Here is a 21,569-nt window from a genome sequence, read left to right as displayed (position 1 = left end):
TTTTTGAAAAAAAAAAAAAAACACTTGGCTTGAAAATCATTTTGTGGCTTGGATAAGTATGCAAGTTACTTTTCCACCAAAGAATTTTCAGCAGCTGCCTGCTTTTCTGTGATGTATCCTGTTGTCTTTTCCAAAATATTTTTAAGAGTTTGAGTTAATATTGATTTTAATCAGACTTTCTGATTAAAGGTTTTTTTTTATTAAAACACATCTGTCTGCTGTGGTATGAAAAAAAGAGAAATCACTCTAAGTTGTTAATAAGGTGAAGATGCCTATGATATACTTTCAAGTAAAGTAAAAAAAAATCAATCTCTTTTTGCATTTACAAAGAAAGCAATAAAATGGCAAACCATATATTATCAATTGGCATTGGATTATTCAGAGTACAAGAAAGACTAAAATCTGAAATATTTTAAAGTAATTTTAACAACAAATGTTCAAGGCTGGATACATGAGCAATGAAAATATATTTGAAAATTACATCTTTCTAGATATTTGCTTTTGTTTACTACTCATAATTAAACAGTCAACATCAGAGGAATTTCCTTATTTCAATGATGCTGCCATCACTCAAAATCAATTTTGAATTGCTTGTGTAATATTGCCTTCAAAAGGTACCTAGAAGAAGCATAAAAAATCATCCTGACTGCTCTGAGTGCAATGGTGTTTACAACTAACCGATCACAACCAGTTGCAGATTTATTTGTTCTTTTTCCACACTCACTGCTTCAGTTGACTAGCCTTTAAAAAAAAATTCTAATTATTTCATTACAGTTGACCTGTGAACCATGTAGGTTTAAACTGCACAGGTCCACATATACATGGATTTTATTCCATCTCTGCTACCCCAAGACATCAAGACCAACCCTTCCTCTTCCTGCTCCTCCTTAGCCTACTCAATATGAAGACAATGAAGATGAAGAATTTTATGATGATTCACTTCCACTTAATGGATAGTAAATATATTTTCCCTTTCTTGTGATTTTCTTGATAACATTTTATTTTCTCTAGTTTTTTAATTGTAAGAATACAAGACAAAATACGTATACAAAATATATGTTAATTGACTGTTTACATTATCAGTAAGACTTCTGGTCAAAGTAGGTTATTAGTAGCTAAGTTTTGGGAAAGATGTTTGACAATGTGGGGGATCAGCCCTAACCCTCACGTTGTTCAAGAGTCAACTGTACAAAAAACATAATTAATCACCACCATTATTTACAAACTTGGTTTTGAATGTCACTCTTATTTTAGAGCAGATGTAATTTTGGAATTAGTGAAAGATTTCCTACCACCGAAGGTATTTAAAAAAAAGATTAATACCTCCAATATATTCTAAAAGAATAATTTCAAAACATTTTTAATCAACATATATAGCATATATATTATGTGTAGTGTGTGTATATATAGTATATATATTATATATGTGTGTGTATATATGTTGAAAGAGAAAAATGATCATTTATATGTAAACTATCAGGTATTACCTTCTGCTTAGAATGTAAAAAGTCACAAGAAAATGTCATTCCCAACCTAACAACAGTAACCAGCCAGATAATATGTAAAGTCATGGTTTGAAAAAAATTTATCAGAGTGCTAAGAATGAGGGATAAAACCTAATGACTTAAAATCCAAAAAGTTACACACCTCTCTTTGGAGTGAAGAAATCTAACAGTTTCTGTCATTTTTGGTGAATCAGTGGAAAAGGGAGAAAGCTGTCAGATAAATGGGAAATGAGAAAACTGATGAACATTTAAGGAATTTTTATTGACCAAGTGTGGGATGGCATGATGATTTGGAGTCCCCAGAACAGAGAGTATGCCACTTGCCAACACTTTTCAGAGGCATTCACAGAGTACTCATGAGAAATATTGGGCCGGGGTAGGAATGCTAAGAGAAACTTTCAAGTGTTTGAACTTCACACCCAGTACAAGGTAGGAGGCACTTACCTTTGGTGGAAGAGGGTCAGGAATACTGGAAGAGACTTGCCGCACTGACACACAGTGTGCAGGACCTCATGAAATCTAAGGGCAAGGCATAAGAACGAAGATAAACCCTCTGGGCTTTACACTGAGTAAAAGACAGTGATGACCTGTGGCTAAGAGAAGAGCAGGAAAGCTAAGATAAACTCTCCTCTGAGATGCAAGTGTAGGGGGATTGCTGGAGTCTTCAGGCAACACAAAAACCTGAACAAAATTCTCTAGGCACTCAGGGCCCCCACTGATGCATTGGTTGATTTTGGTGGAAGCTAAGGCAGGATAGCTAATAAGAATCCCTCTGAGATGCAGACAAGCAGGGACTGAGAAAGACTGAAAGCAAAACAAAAAAATGGAAACAAATCCTTCAGATGCTCAGGTCCCAAATCTAGCTAAAACGAAGGCACAGATCCCATTCTCAAATTATTTGCAGCCTGTGGTAAAATAAGTCTAAAGAAACTTTCATATGCATATATCAAAACATAATCAAAATGGCAGAGTAGGAGGTACCAGCCTTCATTCACCTACAAATAAACAAATACAGACAGCTAGCCACAAACCAAAATATCCCAGAGAAGTCTGAAAGGCCCACTAAAGAGTCTGTGGCAACAGAGTGGAGCAAAAATATTGGGAATATGCACATAGAAAAGATTGCTGGTGAAATTAGCATACTTGAGATGCCAGGAGAGAGCAAGGAACAAAGAAGAAAGACAAAGGCTGTTGCTATCAGTTGCATGGCAGGAACCATTGAGTTTCCTAGCAGTCAGCTCCATAGGGGACACTGGCTACTTTTGCCACTAAGGCAACAAACAGCTGTTCTTGTCCAGGAACGCCAGAAAAGGAGATGTGTCTGCACACTTCTCCACCACCCAAGAAGCTGACACCTCTCCCAACCATACAAGTGCCCTGCCCATAAGCCATATTGAGCTAGTTAGCACTCTGGGACCCAGAGCCAAACTCTTTCTGCACATAGTTTCATTCCAGGTACTGACTTAGATACCATAGGGATCTTGTCTCTACCTTGACTTCAGAGCCACTTTAACTCTGCATAAGCCTGTGCTCCCATGCTTAACTCTATGGCTGCTGCACAAGCACCTGCACATCACATGCTGTTACTGACAGGGGAGCAGGGGTCCCTGAGCCCTAGACACCTGTGCCATTATCATTCTGGATTCCAGAACCATAGTCCCTCCAGGCATGCTCATGCTTTAGGCCTCAACTTAGTGACTACTCCATGAGCACCATGATCAGACACCAGTGCCACTGCCAACTTGAGTGGGACTGCAAAGTAGACCCAGTGTGAAGAGGAATCTCTTCAGCCACAACTTCCCCAGTGAGAGAAAAAAAGATTGGGAGGACCTTAGCAGCCATCACCATCAAACACTGCAATGACTTTCACTGCCACTGTGGATATCCACACCATTGGCCACTGAAGATGCCTGTAACCTTCATCAACATTGACCTCAGCAGACAGGGATGTTGAGGTGAATACACAGCTTTGACCCCATTGGTGACAAATCACTGCACCCCACGCAGAAACGGCCTCTGACCTCCCTATAGGGAGAGATCTTTCCACAGAAAAATTAGCACGTAAAGTAAGGAAGAGGAGAATACTCCACCAAATCTGCAGACATCAATAGAAGGCAAGAAGAAACAAAACAACCAAGGAGACATAACACCATCAAAAGAACACAATTTTTCAGTAACTACCCCAATGAAGATATATGAACTCCAAATGTAAATATTCAAACTTGCCTAATAAATAATTCAAAATTATTATTTTAAGGAAATTCCATAAACTTCAAGAAAATACAGAGAAATAATACAATAAAATAAAAAAAGACCAAAATAAAAAATTTATCAAAGAGATTAAAATTGTAAAACAAAAACAAACAGAAATTCTGGAGCTGAACATCACAATGAATGAAATGAAAAATGCAATAGAGAACATCAACACCAGAATAATTCACCATGATCAAACAATAAATGTGATATAATACATTAACAGAATAAAGGACAAAAACCATATAATCATCTCAATTAGTGCAGAAAAGGCACAAACAAAATTCAACATCCTTTCATCATAAAACTCCCAACAAATGAGATATATAGAAGAAATGTACCTCAACACAATAAAGACCATATATGAGAAGCCCACAGCTAATATCGTACTCAATGGTGAAAAGTTGAAAGTTTTTCCTCTAAGATCAGAAGTAAGACAAGAATGTTCATTATTGACACTTCTGTTCAATATAGTACTGGAATTTATAGACAGAGCAAGCTAGACAAAAGAAAAATAAAGGCATCCAAATCAGAAAGAAAAAAGTTAAATTATTTCTGTTCATAGATTACATTATATATAGAAAACCCTAAGGACTCTGCCAAAAAAAACTGTTAAAACTAATAAATTCAATAAAGTTGCAGAATACAAAATCAACATACAGAAATCAGTAGTATTTCTACACGTTAACAAAAAGCTGTAAATAAAAAAATCAAGAAAACAATTCCATTAATTATAGCCACCAAATAAATAAAATACTTAGGGATATATTCACCTAAGAAGGTGAAAGATCTGTACACAGAAAACTATAATACGCTAATGAAGAAAATTGAACAATGCACAAATAAATAAAAAGATATCCCATGTTAATGGATTGGAAGAATTAATGTTTTTAAAATGCCCATTCTACCCAAAGAGATCTACACATTCAAAAAAATCCCTATACAAATTCCAATGACATTTTTCATAGAAATAGAAAAAAAATCCTAAAATTTATATGAAACCACAAAAGACTGAATAGCCAAAGCAATATTGAGCAAAAAGAACAAAGCAGGAGGCATCACACTACCTTATTTCAAAATCTACTAGAGAATTATAGTAATTAAAACAGCCTGGTACTGGCATAAAAATAGACACCTTGACCAATGAAGCAGAATAGAGAGTCCAGGAATAAATCCACATATTTATTGTCAATTTTTGGCAAAGATGTCAAGAACTCACAATAGGGAAGAGTTTCTTCAATAAAGACTGAATTTTCACATGCAGAAAAATGAAAATAGACCATCGTCTCAAAGCACATGCAAAAATTGATCTAAAATGGATTAAAGACAAATATAATACCAAAAACTATAACACTACTGGAAAAAAATGGAGGGAAAGCTCCATGGCATTTATCTAGGCAAGGACTTTTTAAAATACGGCCCTAAAGCACAGGCAACAAGAAGATAAATAGAATTCTACCAAAGTGAAAAACTTTCGCAAAACAAAGAAAAAAAGTCAACAGAGTAAAGAGACAACATATGGGATGGGAGAAAATATCTGAACACCATAGATCTCATAAGGAGTTAATATCCAAAAGATATAAGAAACTCAAACAATTAAATAGTAAGAAAACAAATAACCTGACTTGAAACTGAGCAAAAAACTTGAACTGACATTTCTCAAAAGAAGATATACGGATGGCTAATGGGTGTATAAAAAATGCTCAACACCACTAATCAGAGAAATGCAAATAGAACTACAGTGAGAGATCATCTCACATCTGTTAGAATGGCTACTATCAAGAAGAAAGAAGATAACAAATGTAGGTGAGGATGCAGAGAAAAGAACTTTTGTATGTTGTTGGTTGGAATGTAAATTAGTACAGTCATTATGAAAACCAGTATGGCGTTTCCTTAAAAATATAAAAATAGAACTACCATATGATCCAGCAATCCTGCTACTGGATCTGTATCCAAAGGATATGAAATCAGTATGTCAAAGAGATATTTGCACTCCCTTATTTGTCGCAGCATTATTTACAACAGCCAAAATGTGAAATCATCCTAAGTCCATCAACAGATAAACGAATTTAAAAAAATTCTATGTGTATATACAATGGAATACTGTTCCATTCTTTGAAAAGAAGGAAATCTTGTTATTTGTGATAACATGGATGAACCTGGAGTACATTATATTAAGTGAAATAAGCCAAATGCAGAAAGACAAATACTGCATGATCTCACTTACATGTGGAATGTAAAAAAGCCAAATTTATAAAAACAGAGTTAAATGGTGGTTACCAGAAGAAGGGGGATGGTGAGATTGGGGAGATGTTGGTCATAGGTCACAAAATTTCGGTTAGACAAGAGGAATGAATTCAAGAGCTCTATTGTACTCATGTTTACTACAATTAATAACAACTTATTGTATACCTAAAAATTGCTGGCTGGCAGGGCTGCTCACGCCTATAATCCCAGCACTTTGGGAGGACAAGGTGGGCGATCACGAGGTCAGGAGATCGAGACCATCCTGGCTAACATGGTGAAACCCTGTCTCTACTAAAAGTACAAAAAATTAGCCAGGTGTGGTGGCGGGCGCCTATAGTCCCAGCTACTCAGGAGGCTGAGGCAGGAGAATGGCGTGAACCCGGGAGGCGGAGCTTGCAGTGAGCTGAGATTGCGCCACTGCACTCCAGCCTGGGTGACAGAGCGAGACTCCGTCTCAAAAAAAAAAAAAAAAAAAAATTTGTTAACAGACTAGATTTAAGAATTCTTAACATAAAAAATAAGTATGTGAGATAACGTATATGTTAAATAGCTTGATTTAGCCATTCTACAATGCATATATATATTAAAACATCTTATTGTGCCCCATAAGCATATATAATTTTACTCATCGATTTAAAAGTACATAAAATTTTAAAAAGAAACAAGCCCAGACCCAACTAAATTATGGACTAGATTAACTCATATCTCCACGTTAGTTGTCTGAAAAAGAAATAATGTGCCTTTTTCTGAGTGTAAATGTATTTGCTTCAGTGTATTGTTCTATTATATATAATATCAAATTTCCAATATAAAATATGAGGTATGGAAGAAAGAAGAAAATGTGATCCATTGTCAAGAGAGGAAAAAGTCAACAAATCTCAATCCAAAGATGGCCCAAGTGTTAAAATTATCAAAGAGGGACTTTAAAATATGATAAATATATTAAAGGATCTCGTGGAAAAAGTGTACACATAGGGAATTTTATCATAGAATTGAAACCTATGAAAAAGAACCAGATGAAGATCCTAGAAATGAAAGATGAAATAATAGATACATAATTATGTTGATGGATTCATTATGCTAAATATTCAGCATACTAATAATCAGAGCAAGGATTATTATAATTATTGTTATTAATATAGTTAATATAATTATAATATAATTATATAATTATAGAAATCGTATTATATAAGTATAATATAATCATAATTAAATAATTATAATTATTCAGCATGCTAATAATCAGAGGAAGGAATCAGTGAATTTGTAGAAAACATAAATTATTCAGACTAAAACACAAAGAGAAAAAACTGTAAAGGAAAAGAATAAGGACATCCAAACTGTTATAGATTATCAAATAAGTTATCATATGTGTAGTTGGAGTCCCAGAACAAGAAGATAGAATAGACCAGAATAAATATTGAAAGAAATAATGGATGGCAATTTTCCAAAACTGATGAAAGACATCAACCACAGATCTTAGAAGTTGAATGAAATCTAGTAATAGTAAATACAAAGAAAACCACACCTCACTCCATCATGGTGAGAGCCCTACAATATAGAAATCATTAGAAAATATTGAAATCAAAGAAAAAAAGGCCAGGCGCAGGGGCTTAAGCCTGTAATCCCAGCACTTTGGGAGGCTGAGGCAGGTGGATCACCTAAGGTCAGGAGTTCGAGACCAGCCTGGCCAACATGGTGAAACCCAGTCTCTACTAAAATACAAAAATTAGCCATTTGCAGTGGTGTGTGCCTGTAATCCCAGCTACTTGGGAGGCTGAGGCAGGAGAATCACTTGGACCAGAGAGGTGGAAGTTGCAATGGGCTGAGATCTCGCCACTGCACTCCAGCCTGGGTGACAGAGCAAAATACCATCTTTAAAAAAAAAAAAAAAAAGAAGAAGAAAAAAAAATTACATACAAGGAAAAATAATGACAGCTGACTTCTTATCAGAAAAAAAATTGTAAGAAACAGAACAATGAAATATCATCTTTAAATTGCTGGGGGAAAAACTGTTAGTCTGTAAATCTATATCCAACCAAAAAAAATCTATAAAAATGAAGTCAAAATAAAGGCATTTTGGAAGCAGATGAAAACTGAAAGAATTTACTTCATCTCCAGCAGACCTGCATTATAAGAAATATCAAACACTCACTAATGCTCTTTAATGTTTTCAGTCAATTTCTCTCTGTTTCATTTGGATATAAAATATATTTGCTGCATCTTCAAGTTCAACAATCATTTATTTCTACAACCTCTAATCTGTCATTAATCACATCCAGTGTGTTTTTCATTTCAAGTATTGTAATTTATATGTCCAGAAGCCCAATTTGGGCCTTTTTGCTGTCTTCTATGTTTCTATTTAATGTGTCCAATCCTTACTCCAGCTTCTTGAACATAGGGTGTATAGTTATAGTCCTTGTCTAATAATTATATCTTCTGTATTACATCTGGATTGGTTTTTATTATTGATAGGTTTTCTCCTGCTTATAGATTATAATCTTTCTTTGTATGACAGTGATTTTTAACTGAATGGATGACACTATGAATTTTATCTTGTTAGATCTTAATATTTTTGTAATCCTATAAATATTCTTAAACGTTGATCTGGGATGCTAAGTTAATTAGAAAAACTTTAATCCATTCTGGTCTTCCTTGTAGGTGTCACTAGGAAGAAGCAGAGCAGTATTGAGTCTAGAGTTGATTTTTCTACTACCGAGGCCAACCACTTCTGAGAACTTTCAACATGAATTATGAAATTTCCCATGCTGGTTGGTGCCGTGTGTAAGCCCCAGGTATTATTTCCTTTCATTCTTTCTGGTGGTTCTTTCTTCATCCTTGGGTAGTTTTCTCCTACTCATGCACTGATCAGCAGTCAGCTGAAAATGCAAGGGAGACTCTGAAGATCTCTGGAACTGGCTCACTCGCTAGGCAGCACTCTCTTTTGTAATACTCTGTCTACTCCGCCCTATGAACTTTAACTCCTGTGGCCTCGTCAGATCCCCAGTTTTATCTTCTCAACTTTAGAGTGACTGCCAGGCTTTGTCTGTGTTTTATCTCCTTTTGCTATGACCTAGAAACTCTAGGGTATTCATAGGTCTCATCACATGTTTCACATCTCTTAAGGAATCACTATCTTTTATTACTTGATGTTTGAAGTCTTGAAAATCGTTTCATAAATATTGTTCATTTTTTTGTTGTTTATGTGTAAGGTAAATCTGCTCCCTCCAAATTTACCCTTCATCTTCACTGGAAACAGAAATCTTTGTATCATTCTTTTTTAAATATACTAAATCTATGTAACCTGTACATAATGATTGAAATCCTGATGTTTCCCTTTAGGCCAGTTCCAATATCTTTCCAGATTCTATATGATATATTGAATTTAGAATATAATATAAATAAAAGGTACGAATTTTGTGAATAGGCAAAACTATAAGCAGAAGCTTAGAGATGTGTGAAAGTACATTGACTGTACACATGTACTTATCCATTTACCTACTTTCTTTAGCCCTTTGTAAAATTCTTCTCTGACACTACTTTCCTTTAGGACCAGACATTCCTGCATTCCCTGTGATCACCTTCTACTCTGGAGAGGGAGTGTCATAGAGCAACTAAAAACTCTTTTAGATGCCAAATATTTTGGAAATTTTTGAATTATAGTTTTTCTAAGTACCAAAGCCTTACCTGCTTTCTCTAGAATTCCTCTAGAAGTGAAGAAACAGACACACACATTATCTATCAGTTTCATATTTAGTGTCTATGTTTTATCTTTCAGCAGAAAATGTTAACAACTTAATTAACAACTGTAATTAATTTCTGACGTCTCCCTTTTTGATATACCCCCTTCACTTCAGCTAAACATATGCATCACAATCAATAATTATGAAGAGATTTAAATAAAAAGTAATATCCTGTTTCCTGAAAAGCACACTGAAAAAATATGTAACAAAAGGCAACACGAGTAATTTACAAACATTTCTGATTGCAAATTTGAAGCCAGACCACTAGCTGTTGTTCAAATAGCTGTAAGTTATTTTACTATAAATTCAGAATGGAGGGATTGGCCAGCTGTAGATGATGCATTATGATTATATGATTCAGTGCTACAGTCAGGGGTGCTGCTTTGAGGAGAGTGGTTATACAGGTCTGATGGCAAAGCAACTTAATTGAAAATTCATATTTCAAATTGCATAACAATGAAGTAGAAAAAGGAGAATTGCATAACATTCCTAATAGAATTGTTATTGTTTCTATCACTTACATTAAACAACAAATGTTAATAGTAGCATCTCATAAAGTTTTTACTCTTTAAAATATTTCAAGTTTGCCATTTACTTTCAAAGTAAAAATAATAATGTAAGTTTTAAATATTTCCTTAAATTTTTTTATTCAAATGAGAAGACTATTTGGGTAAATTTAGGCATTTCTTCCTCTGTAGTATTCGAAAAAAAAATTGTAGGAACTGAAAATTATTTGACTTTTATATTGAAGAACCTGATAGAATGTTACAACTCTGAAATTCTATGCTTTATTTTCTTTTTAGCCATATTCTGTAATTAACCTCAACACTTTGAAGGGCCAACTGGTCTGTCAGTAAATGTTTCAGATTAGAATTTAATAACCTTGAATCCAGAATGCTAGTTTACTTATTCAGAGATTTTAAACTTTTCTTCAGGTTTTCTTCGCAACCTACTCATCTGACAAAGGGCTAATATCCAGAATCTACAATGAACTCCAACAAATTTACAAGAAAAAAACAAACAACCCCATCAAAAAGTGGGCAAAGGATATGAACAGACACTTCTCAAAAGAAGACATTTATGCAGCCAAAAGACACATGAAAAAATGCTCATCATCACTGGCCATCAGAGAAATGCAAATCAAAACCACAATGAGATACCAGCTCACACCAGTTAGAATGGCAATCATTAAAAAGTCAGGAAACAACAGGTGCTGGAGAGGATGTGGAGAAATAGGAACACTTTTACACTGTTGGTGGGACTGTAAACTAGTTCAACCATTGTGGAAGTCAGTGTGGCGATTCCTCAGGGATCTAGAACTAGAAATACCATTTGACCCAGCCATCCCATTACTGGGTATACACCCAAAGGACTATAAATCATGCTGCTATAAAGACATGTGCACACATATGTTTATTGTGGCACTATTCACAATAGCAAAGACTTGGAACCAACCCAAATGTCCAACAATGATAGACTGGATTAAGAAAATGTGGCACATATACACCACGGAATACTATGCAGCCATAAAAAATGATGAGTTCATGTCCTTTGTAGGGACATGGATGAAATTGGAAATCAACATTCTCAGTAAACTATCGCAAGGACAAAAAACCAAACACCACATGTTCTCACTCATAGATGGGAACTGAACAATGAGAACACATGGACACAGGAAGGGGAATATCACACTCTGGGGACTGTTGTGGGGTGGGGGGACGGGGGAGGGATAGCATTAGGAGATATACCTAATGCTAAATGACGAGTTAATGGGTGCAGCACACCAGCATGGCACATGTATACATATGTAACTAACCTGCACATTGTGCACATGTACCCTAAAACTTAAAGTATAATAAGAAGAAAAAGAAAAAATAATCAATGAAAGCATTCACAAAAATGACATAAAAAAAGAAAAAAACTGATAGAATAGAGTTGAAAGAATGATTAATGAGAGGAAAAACTTTAGCAGAGAAAGGGAAACTAAAAATAACAAAATGAAAATTTTAGAACTCAAAAATACACCTAAAATTGTTTAAAATTGACAGGTATAATAGGAGACTAGACAAAGAAGAAAAGAATAGTAAACTCAAAAAGAGGCCAACAGAAAATACTTAAACTAAAACACAGATAAAATATTACATATTTTATGATTTCATTTACAGTAAATGTCCACAATGGGTAAGTCTATAGAGACAGAAACTATATTAGTGGTTGCCTCGGGCTAGGAGAGAGTGGACAGGACATGGGAAGATAGGGTATTTACAGCTAAAAGGCACAAAGTTCCTTTTTGAGGTGATGTAAATGTTCTCAAATTGACTGTGTTGATGGTTACCCATATGTAATAACTGAATAGTACTAACTACTGAATTGTAAATATATTAATCACTGGGTTATACTATTGTTAAAAAGGTAATAAGGGTATTACAAACAACTTCATGCCAATATATTATATAAATTAGTCAATTTTTATAAATGGACACATTATTTGAAAGGCACGAACAACAAATTCCTACTCAAGAGGAAATAGATCAATATATCTTCTGAATTCTCCTATCTTTATTAAATATACTAAATTTTCAGTTTAAAACCTTCCCACAGCTTTGCACTGTGGAGAGATCCATATGGAGTTGTTCTAGATTTGTGGCATAACTTAAAGGGAAATTTTCACAATGTTCAGAGCCCTTGATGTCCTGAAAATGAAGGAGGACAGAAAATGTCCTCAAATTTCTTGTAGTTTGAACCCACTCAGGTGGCACCATCCTTGACTTCCAAATGGAACAGTACCTCTACAAAAGAAAAAGTGATAGCATCTGCATCATAAATCTGAAGAGGACCTAGAGGCTTCTGCTGGCAGCTCGTGTCATTGCTGTGATTGGAAACCCTGCTGATGTCAGTGTCATATCCTCCAGGAATACTGACCACCAGGCTGTGCTGAAGTTTACTGCTGCCATTGGAGCTACTCCTGTTGATGATCATTTCCTCCTGGAAACTTCATTAACCAGATCCAGGCAGCCTTACAGGAGTTACATTGCTGGTGGTTACTGATTCCAGGGCTGACCACAAGCCTCTCATAGAGGCATGTTATGCTAACCTGTCTACCATTGCTCTAGGTCACACAGGTTTTCCTCCATGCTATGTGGACATTGCCACCCCATGCAACAGCAGCTCACTCAGTGGGCCTGATGTGGTGGATGGTGGCCAAGAAGTTATGCACGTGCTTGGCGCCATCTCCTGTGAACACCCATGGGAGATTATGACTTATCTCTACTTCTACAAACATCCTGAAAAGATTGAAAAGAAAGAGCAGGTTGCTGCTGAAAAAGCTGTGACCAAGGAGGAATTTCAGGGCGAACAGACTTCTTCAGCACCTGAGTTCACTGCTACTTAGTGTGAGGTTTCAGAATGGCCTGAAGGTGTGCAGGTTGCATGTGTGCTTTGTGCCTATTCAGCAGTTACCTACTGAACACTGGAGCACTCAGCCTGCCACCGAAGGCTGGTTTGCCCTCCCACTGCTCAGGCCACTGAATGGGTAGGAAGAACCGCTGAATAGTGTTAAAGCTGTTCTTCCACATGCATTTAAGCAAGATGGAAATAAGGTTGATGAAAAAAAATCATCAGTTTCTCCTTTTTTACAACATTTTTATTTTTATCATTATACTTTAAGTTCTGGGGTACACGTGCAGAACGTGCAGGTTTCTTACATAGGTATACACTTGCCATGGTGGTTTGCTGCACCCGTCAACCAGTCATCTACATTACGTATTTCTCCTAATGCTATCCCTCCCTTAGCCCCCTACCCCCCAACAGGCCCCGGTGTGTGATGTTCACCTCCCTGTGTCCATGTGTTCTCATTGCTCAACTCCCACTTACGAATGAGAACATGTGGTGTTTGGTTTTCTGTTCTTGTGTTAGTTTGCTGAGAATGATGGTTTCCAACTTCATCCATGCCCCTGCAAAGGACATGAACTCTTCCTTTTTTATGGCTGCAGAGTATTCCATGGTGTATATGTGGCACATTTTATTTATCCATTCTATCATTGATGGGCATTTGGGTGGTTCCAAGCATTTGCTATTGTGAACAGTGCTGCAATAAACATATGTGTGCATGTGTCTTTATAGTAGAATGATTTATAATCCTTTGAGTATATACTCAGTAATGGGATTGCTGGGTCAAATAGTATTTCTAGTTCTAGATCCTTGAGAAATCACCACACTGTCTTCCACAATGGTTGAACTAATTTACACTCCCACCAACAGTGTAAACGCATTCCTATTTCTCCACATCCTCTCTAGAATCTGTTGTTTCCTGACTCTGTAATGATTGCTGTTCTAACTGGCGTGAGATGGTATCTCACTGTGGTTTTGATTTGCATTTCTCTAATGACCAGTGATGATGAGCTTTTTTCCATGTTTGTTGGCTGCATAAATGTCTTCTTTTGAGAAGTGTCTGATCTTATCCTTTGCCCACTTTTTGATGGGGTTGTTTGTTTTTTTCTCATAAATTTGTCTAAGGTCTTTGTAGATTCTGGGTATTAGCCCTTGTCAGATGAATAGATTGCAAAATTTTTGTCCCATTCTGTAGGTGGCCTGTTCACTCTGATGATAGTTTCTTTTCCTGTGCAGAAGCTCTTTAGTTTAACTAGATCCCATTTGTCTATTTTGGCTTTTGTTGCCATTGCTTTTGGTGTTTTCGTCATGAAGTCTTTACCCATGCCTATGTCCTGAATGGTATTGCCTAGGTTTTCTTCTAGGGTTTTTATGGTTTTAGGTCTTACATTTAAGTTTTTAATCCATCTTGAGTTAATTTTTGTATAAGGTGTAAGGAAGGGATCCAGTTTCAGCTTTCTACATACAGCTAGCCAGTTTTCCCAACACCATTTATTAAATAGGGAATCCTTTCCCTATTGCTTGTTTTTGTCAGGTTTGTCAAAGATCAGATGGTTGTAGATATGTGGCATTATTTCTGAGGGCTCTGTTCTGTTCCATTGGTCTATATATCTGTTTTGGTACCAGTACCATGCTGTTTTGGTTACTGTAGCCTTGTAGTATAGTTTGAAGTCAGGTAGCATGATGCTTCCAGCTTTGTTCTTTTTGCTTGGGATTGTCTTAGCTATGTGAGCTCTTTTTTGATTCCATATGAACTTTAAAGTAGTTTTTTCCAAATCTGTGAAGAAAGTCGATGGTAGCTTGATTGGGATAGCATTGAATCTGTAAAATACCTTGGGCAGTATGGCCATTTTCACGATATTGATTCTTCCTATCCATGAGCATGGAATATTTTTCCATTTGTTTGTGTCCTCTCTTATTTCCTTGAGCCGTGGTTTGTAGTTCTCCTTGAAGAGGTCCTTCACATCCCTTGTAAGTTGGATTCCTAGGTATTTTATTCTCTTTGAAGCAATTGTGAATGGGAGTTCACTCATGATTTGGCTGTTTGTCTGTTATTGGTGTATAAGAATGCTTGTGATTTTTGCACATTGATTTTGTATCCTGAGACTTTGCTGAAGTTGCTTATCAGCTTAAGGAGATTTTGGGCTGAGACGATGAGGTTTTCTAACTCATACATACAATCATGTCATCTGCAAATAGAGACAATTTGACTTCCTCTTTTCTAATTGAATACCCTTTATTTCTTTCTCTTGCCTGATTGCCCTGGCCAGAACTTCCATTACTATGTTGAATAGGAGTGGTGAGAGAGGGCATCCTTGTCTTATGCCTGTTTTCAAAGGGAATGCTTCCAGTTTTTGCCCATTCAGTATGATATAGGCTGTGCGTTTGTCATAAATAGCTCTTATTATTTTGAGATATGTTCCATCAATACCTAGTTTATCGAGAGGTTTTAGCATGAAGAGTTGTTGAATTTTGTCAAAGGCTTTTTCTGCCTCTATTGAGATAATCATGTCGTTTTTGTCATTGGTTCTGTTTATGTGATGGATTACGTTTATTGATTTGCCTATGTTGAACCAGCCTTGCAACCCCAGGATGAAGCCGACCTGATAGTTGTGGATAAGCTTTTTGGAGGCATACAGAAACAGCGAGATTTTGTTACCAGCAGAACTGCACTAAAAGGAATATAAATGAAGCATTCTTTTCACTGAAGGGAAATTATAGCAGAAAAAAATTGTATCTACTTAGAAAATACAGAATGCTAAAAATGGCAAAAATATGAGTATATATGAAAGACTATCTTAATTTCTTTTAAAGATTATTGACTGATAAAAGCAAAATAATATATCATAGTGTTTATAATACATGAAGAATTAAACTGTATGACAACGGTATCACCAAAGGGAGGAGAGGGGAAATTCTACTGCTGTAACGTTCATTCGTTATATGTAAAGTAGTATAATATTAAAAGATAGACTATGATAAACAAAGAAAATATATTACATTCCCTGGATGCTGCACTGTTTAAGATAGTAGCCACTAGTGGCCAGGCGCGGTGGGTCACACCTGTAATCCCAGTACTTTGGGAGGCCGAGATGGGCAGATCACGAGGTCAGGAGCTCAAGACCATCCTGGCTAACAGGGTGAAACCCCGTCTCTACTAAAAATACAAAAAATTAGCCGGGCGTGGTGGCAGCCGCCTGTAGTCTCAGCTACTTGGGAGGCTGAGGCAGGAGAATGGTGTGAACCTGGGAGGCAGAGCTTGCAGTGAGCTGAGTTTGCGCCACTGCACTCCAGCCTGGGCGATGAGCGAGACTCCATCTCAAAAAAAAAAAAAAAAAGATTGTAGCCACTAGCCACATGTGGCTAACAATAAGGTCATTTAAAATTAAATAAAATGTAAAATTTAGTTCCTCAGTTGCACTAAGTACTTTTAAAATCTTAATAGCTAGAGACTAATCAGATCGGACATTGCAGCTACAGAACTTTTTTATTGCTGTAGAGAGTTCTATTGAATAACACCAACTTAATTGAGTAGCTTGCCTCTCTCTGCCCCATCACCGTCTTGGGTGAGTCAACACTTATGTTAGGGTCCCTTGTGATACCTGATCCCTACTTCTTGAGCCTCAAGGAAAGCACTGATCATATTGATGTCAGCCTCCCATGATTACACTGTAGAAACTATCATCACTCAAAACTCTCATCCTCCAATACCTTAAACTATAAGCTTTCTCACTTTGACCACAGCCTACATATGACTACCTCTCTCATTTTATCTTACAGAAGTGGCAGCTTAGTTACTATCCATGTTCTCCCAATTTCCTGCCTCCTCCCATTAATGCTTGAATGTACTTCTAGCCTATACTAGGCTGATGATATTTTCCCACTACTCCCCAGTCTTTCCCTTCTGGACAATCCTCTGGGCTCCTCTTGTGAAAGCTTAAGCCTGATTAACTTCCACAAAATACACTCTTGGCTTCCACTTCTGGAGTCCTGAATATTAGTTGAGAAATTTCTAAACCATGCTAACCTGCTCAGCTTCCTGCTATTCAAATTCAAATGGTTCTTCATTTCTACTTAACAATCTATTCATCTCCTTTGGATACTGGTATATTTCTCACAACAGCTGTTCTATGCCTCATTTTAATCCTTCCTCTGTCAGCCTAAACCCAATCCTGCCTTCTCATCTTTGACAGGTAGGTGATTTTATCTCTTAATTGATGAAGGTAGTTAAGAACATACATCATGATCTTTTTTCATTTCCTTTGTACCTCAAATATTCCAGGTACTTTCATTTGCCCCAGTCTCATTTGTTATTGTCTCTAAGGAGGAAATATCCCTGTCTTACACAATAAGATTTCAATTTTTTTCTAGGGCTCTTTGTGTTCTGTTGGAATATATTATGTATCACCTATTTATTCAATACAATAGTATTAGCTTAGGCAGTGAATCCAAGGTCTCCTGATGAAATCAGAATATAAATGGTCCTTTATTTGGAAACTTGTGAGCAATGATGTCTATTAACTTTTGATTCTGAGTATTTAGGGATTGAAATTATGGGTGCATTGTGGCTATACTTGAAATCTTGAAGAAGCCATATGCTTTTGTACCATTGCATTTCAATGTTTGACAGTAAATGAAGAAAGCAGAAGAGACAGTGTGGGGTCTTCTATTGAACCTTCTGATCAAAACAAATATTTTTGAATTTTAATGCTATGGATAGAAATTCTTGGTGGGGATGTTTGGGGGAAGGCTTGACTTCTTGTTTTTGTTTTTTTGGTAAAAGAAAGCTAGTCAAAAACTATGTGAAGTTATTTGTCATAATGGTAGTTGATCCAAGGGGAGTATTTTTAGATATCACTTGGCATGTAAAATTGTTTAAGCTTGCTTACTTGTTTCTAATTGACTAGGAGTCTTGAAAAGTCATGAAATAGATCGTTTCTGCAATGGAAAATTACTCAAGGCAAGTGCTTTTCAGCAAGCAGAGTGCCCTACTTTTTCTATTGACATATTTGAAGGATTTCTGCTGATGCATATTATTCGACCAGCTAAAAAAGTTTTAATATGTTGATTCTCAACAGGCAAATGCATTTTTCAATTGTGATTTATGCCCTTTTATCTGGAGAACACAATAACAGGTGAATAGACATGACAGTGGCCACATTATAAACACAATTCTATAATCTGCTTTTTACTTAAAAATATATTGCGGGATCTGGCCAGCAGCCTGCAATGCAACGGGGCTCTCTCTTTGTTCCCAGGCAGATCGGCAGGTCGGGAAATAATAGACACACACAAGACAGTGAAAGCTGGGTCCAGGGGTGTCACCACCTTTTGGTCCCATGGTGCCAACAATGCACTGGATATGCCAGCATTTATTATTAAGTTTAGTGAGGGCGTGGGTAGGTTAGTGAGGGATTTAAGGTCATTTGATTATGAGGTGAGATGGTCACATGGGGATGAAGTAATTCTGTAACATAACATCTGTATGCAGAAGTACAGTATACAGGGATAAGAATTTACAATATAGTGTGTGCATCAGTAATTTCTAACAGAGCCTTAAAACAGAAACACAGTCTTTCCATAACCTATGATTAGCAAGATATTAATCAGCAGTAACAGTTGCAGCAAAAGCTGGTTACAAACAATCCATAGGTTGTGAAGCTAGACAACCGGTTAGACCAGAAATTTTCAGAAGGGAGTATGCCTTAACCCTAAAGAGGCCTAGAAGAGCCATGGCAAGATGAGATATAGCCCTATCTTATCCATATGGACAGGCGTCCCCCACATATCCATTTATAGGCTCTCCATAAGGGTCGCATTCCATTCCCAGAGCTATGAACGTCGGCTTTTCTGGGATAGGAATCTTGGTGATGTGAAACCTCCCTGACTGCATGTCCATTCATAGGCTCTCTGCAGGGGGAAGCACATCGCGTGCTGTTGTCTCATTCTGGCAGTCCAACCTGGCATTGTCTTTACCCAACCCTGCATGCAATTTTGTATTTACAATAATCAGGAGCATTTCATCTTTATTCCATAGCAATAGTTTCAGGGGGTCTCCCTACAAAAATAGATTGTGAATATTTTATGTATTTAAGTAATTAAAAGCATTATTTTTAATGTCCACATTTAGCCATTTATTCATTATTCATTCTAAAAATATTTACCAAGCATCTACTATGTTCCAACCACTGTTCTTAATGATATATACTAAGCAAGGAACAAAATAGAATAAACAATCACTTTCATAAAGCTCACATAGTATTCCTTTACATAGTTGTATTGAAAGTTTCTTAGATTGGTCTCTTACACTTTTTTTAAAAAAATGTTGCTACCATAAATTAGAAATTGTGCTTCATTGACTATCTTTTTAGCTGTAGCTTTGTGCATGTTAATGACAGTTTCCTGAAGATAAGATCTTAGAAATAAAATTATTAGGCTAGAACATTTAATAGCTCTAAGGCTCTTGACACAACTTGTCAAATCCTTCCTAGAAAGCTTAGATCTCCCCCAGACTCTCATCACTTCTGCTATCATTTTAAATGTTTCAGATAGAAACTTTGCTAATTGGAGTTAAGACCCTTGCTTCTTTCGTTTCCTGTCCAGTGAAGTATCTACTTGGTTGTGGACTACATTTCATCAACTTATGTGCCATTGCAAAATACTGCATGAGTACAATCGTAACCTTAGCTAAAAGAGCAAGTTGCTGAAGAAGCAATTTGTGCTAATGGCTCTAAATTGCTGTTGTTTTGGTTATCCTGAAACTGCACAAGACCTGGCATATATATAGTGGGAACGCACTAAAAATTGAACTTTATTATTTTCACATTTCCTATGACTGCTAAATATGGAATATTTGGTAAAAGGAAAAGACTTCTAACATTTATGTAGTCTCATTTTTTATCTGACTTATTTAGGAATAATTTATGAGTAATGTTTGATATTGTAATTCATCATGATGGTAAAGAATCATAATTTCACAAACACTAAGTTTTCCTGTGTCACTAAAAATAACAAACAGGCTGAGAAAGTTTCTCTCTTCTATAGTGCTATCAGGCTAGAAATTTTAGGCCTTATCCTAGAGGTAATAGTGAACCATTGAACGTTTCTCAACAGAGGAACTACACATCTGTCATGATTTAGAAAAATTATTTTGACAATATGGAGAATTGTACTTTCTCTAGGTATAAGTAAAACAAATATTCTTTTAGTAAACGCTTATTTTAATTGCAGTTGTAGAACTGGATGCTTCAATATGTTAAATAAGAACTTCCATTTGATTTCTACAAAATGACAGCCTGAGATCGTTACAAAATAGCATTCGGTTACCATTTTAGTGCAAAATAGCATTGGGTTACCATTTTAGTGTGCTAGGGCTGCCATGATGAAACACCATAGACCGAGTGTCTTAAACAACAGAAATTTATTTTCTCACAATTCTGGACTCTAGAAGTTTAAGATGAAAGTGTCAACAGGTTTGGTTTCTCCTGAGGCTTTTCTCCTTGGCTTGCAGATGGCCACCTTCTCACTATGTCCTCATGTGGTCTTTTGTCTGTCTATAAACATCCCTTGTGTCTTTTCCTCTTCTATTGGATTAGGGCCACCTATATGACCTCATTTAACCTTAATTCTCTCTTTGAAGGCCCTGTCTCCAAATACAGTCACATTGTGAGGTGTACTGGGAGTTAGGACTGCAATATATGAATTTGGGGAAACAAAATTCAGTCCATTAACAGTTATTAATATGCACATGCAGTTCACAAACTATATAGAGGCACAATTTTCAAGTAATTTTCAATAGTGGCGATAGAGTTTATATGATTAAACAGTGACACTTTTTATATGACCATCTAAACATACCTATAAAATAGTTGTTTTATGTCAGGATAATCATTTCAGAGAGTGACATTGAAAAACCCATAAAAACTCTTAGAACGTTAGTACTGAAGTTGAGGCCTTCCCACAGAGAAGTACTTATGCAGATGCTTACATCAGTTTTTGATAAAGCAAAACTTATGTCCAAGGTAGGTATTATTGTTCTCATTTTGTACATGAGAAAACTGAGATTCAGAATTTAAGGGACTTACTTGTGGCCATGTCAATAAAAATTGGCAGAGTGGAAATTTGGGTTAGGTCATTCTCAACTCCAGAGGTTGCATGCATAACAATTTTGGTTTGTTCATCCCTGGATAATGCTAATATAGCACTGATGAGAATTTAGTGAACCACACTAGAGTCCAGGAAATTGATTTTTTAATTAAACATCAAAATAGCCTGTAGCTCTTTTTAACTTGGATAAGAGGATTTTCGGACTCCAAGTCTAATGTCTTCTTTGCTACCTATACCATGATATGGACTTGAATTATAATAGAATTCTTTTCTCTGGGTCTCAATTTCTTTACCTAAAAAATGAGGATAATACTAGTGGCTTTAT

General features: G+C 36.2%; 1 protein-coding gene and 1 pseudogene across 1 annotated transcript in view; one reads left to right on the top strand and one right to left on the bottom strand.

Moving 5' to 3' along the window:
* Window positions 1-21,569, bottom strand: part of FBXO4 (F-box protein 4) — a 115,124-nt gene that overhangs the window by 75,791 nt on the left and 17,764 nt on the right. The gene's annotated exons all lie outside the window — the stretch shown is intronic.
* On the top strand, window positions 12,528-13,374 carry RPSAP38 (ribosomal protein SA pseudogene 38; annotated as a pseudogene).

Source organism: Homo sapiens, chromosome 5, assembly GCF_000001405.40.
Source record: "Homo sapiens chromosome 5, GRCh38.p14 Primary Assembly".
Lineage (NCBI taxonomy): Eukaryota > Metazoa > Chordata > Mammalia > Primates > Hominidae > Homo > Homo sapiens.
This window is presented reverse-complemented; position numbering and strand designations above follow the sequence as displayed.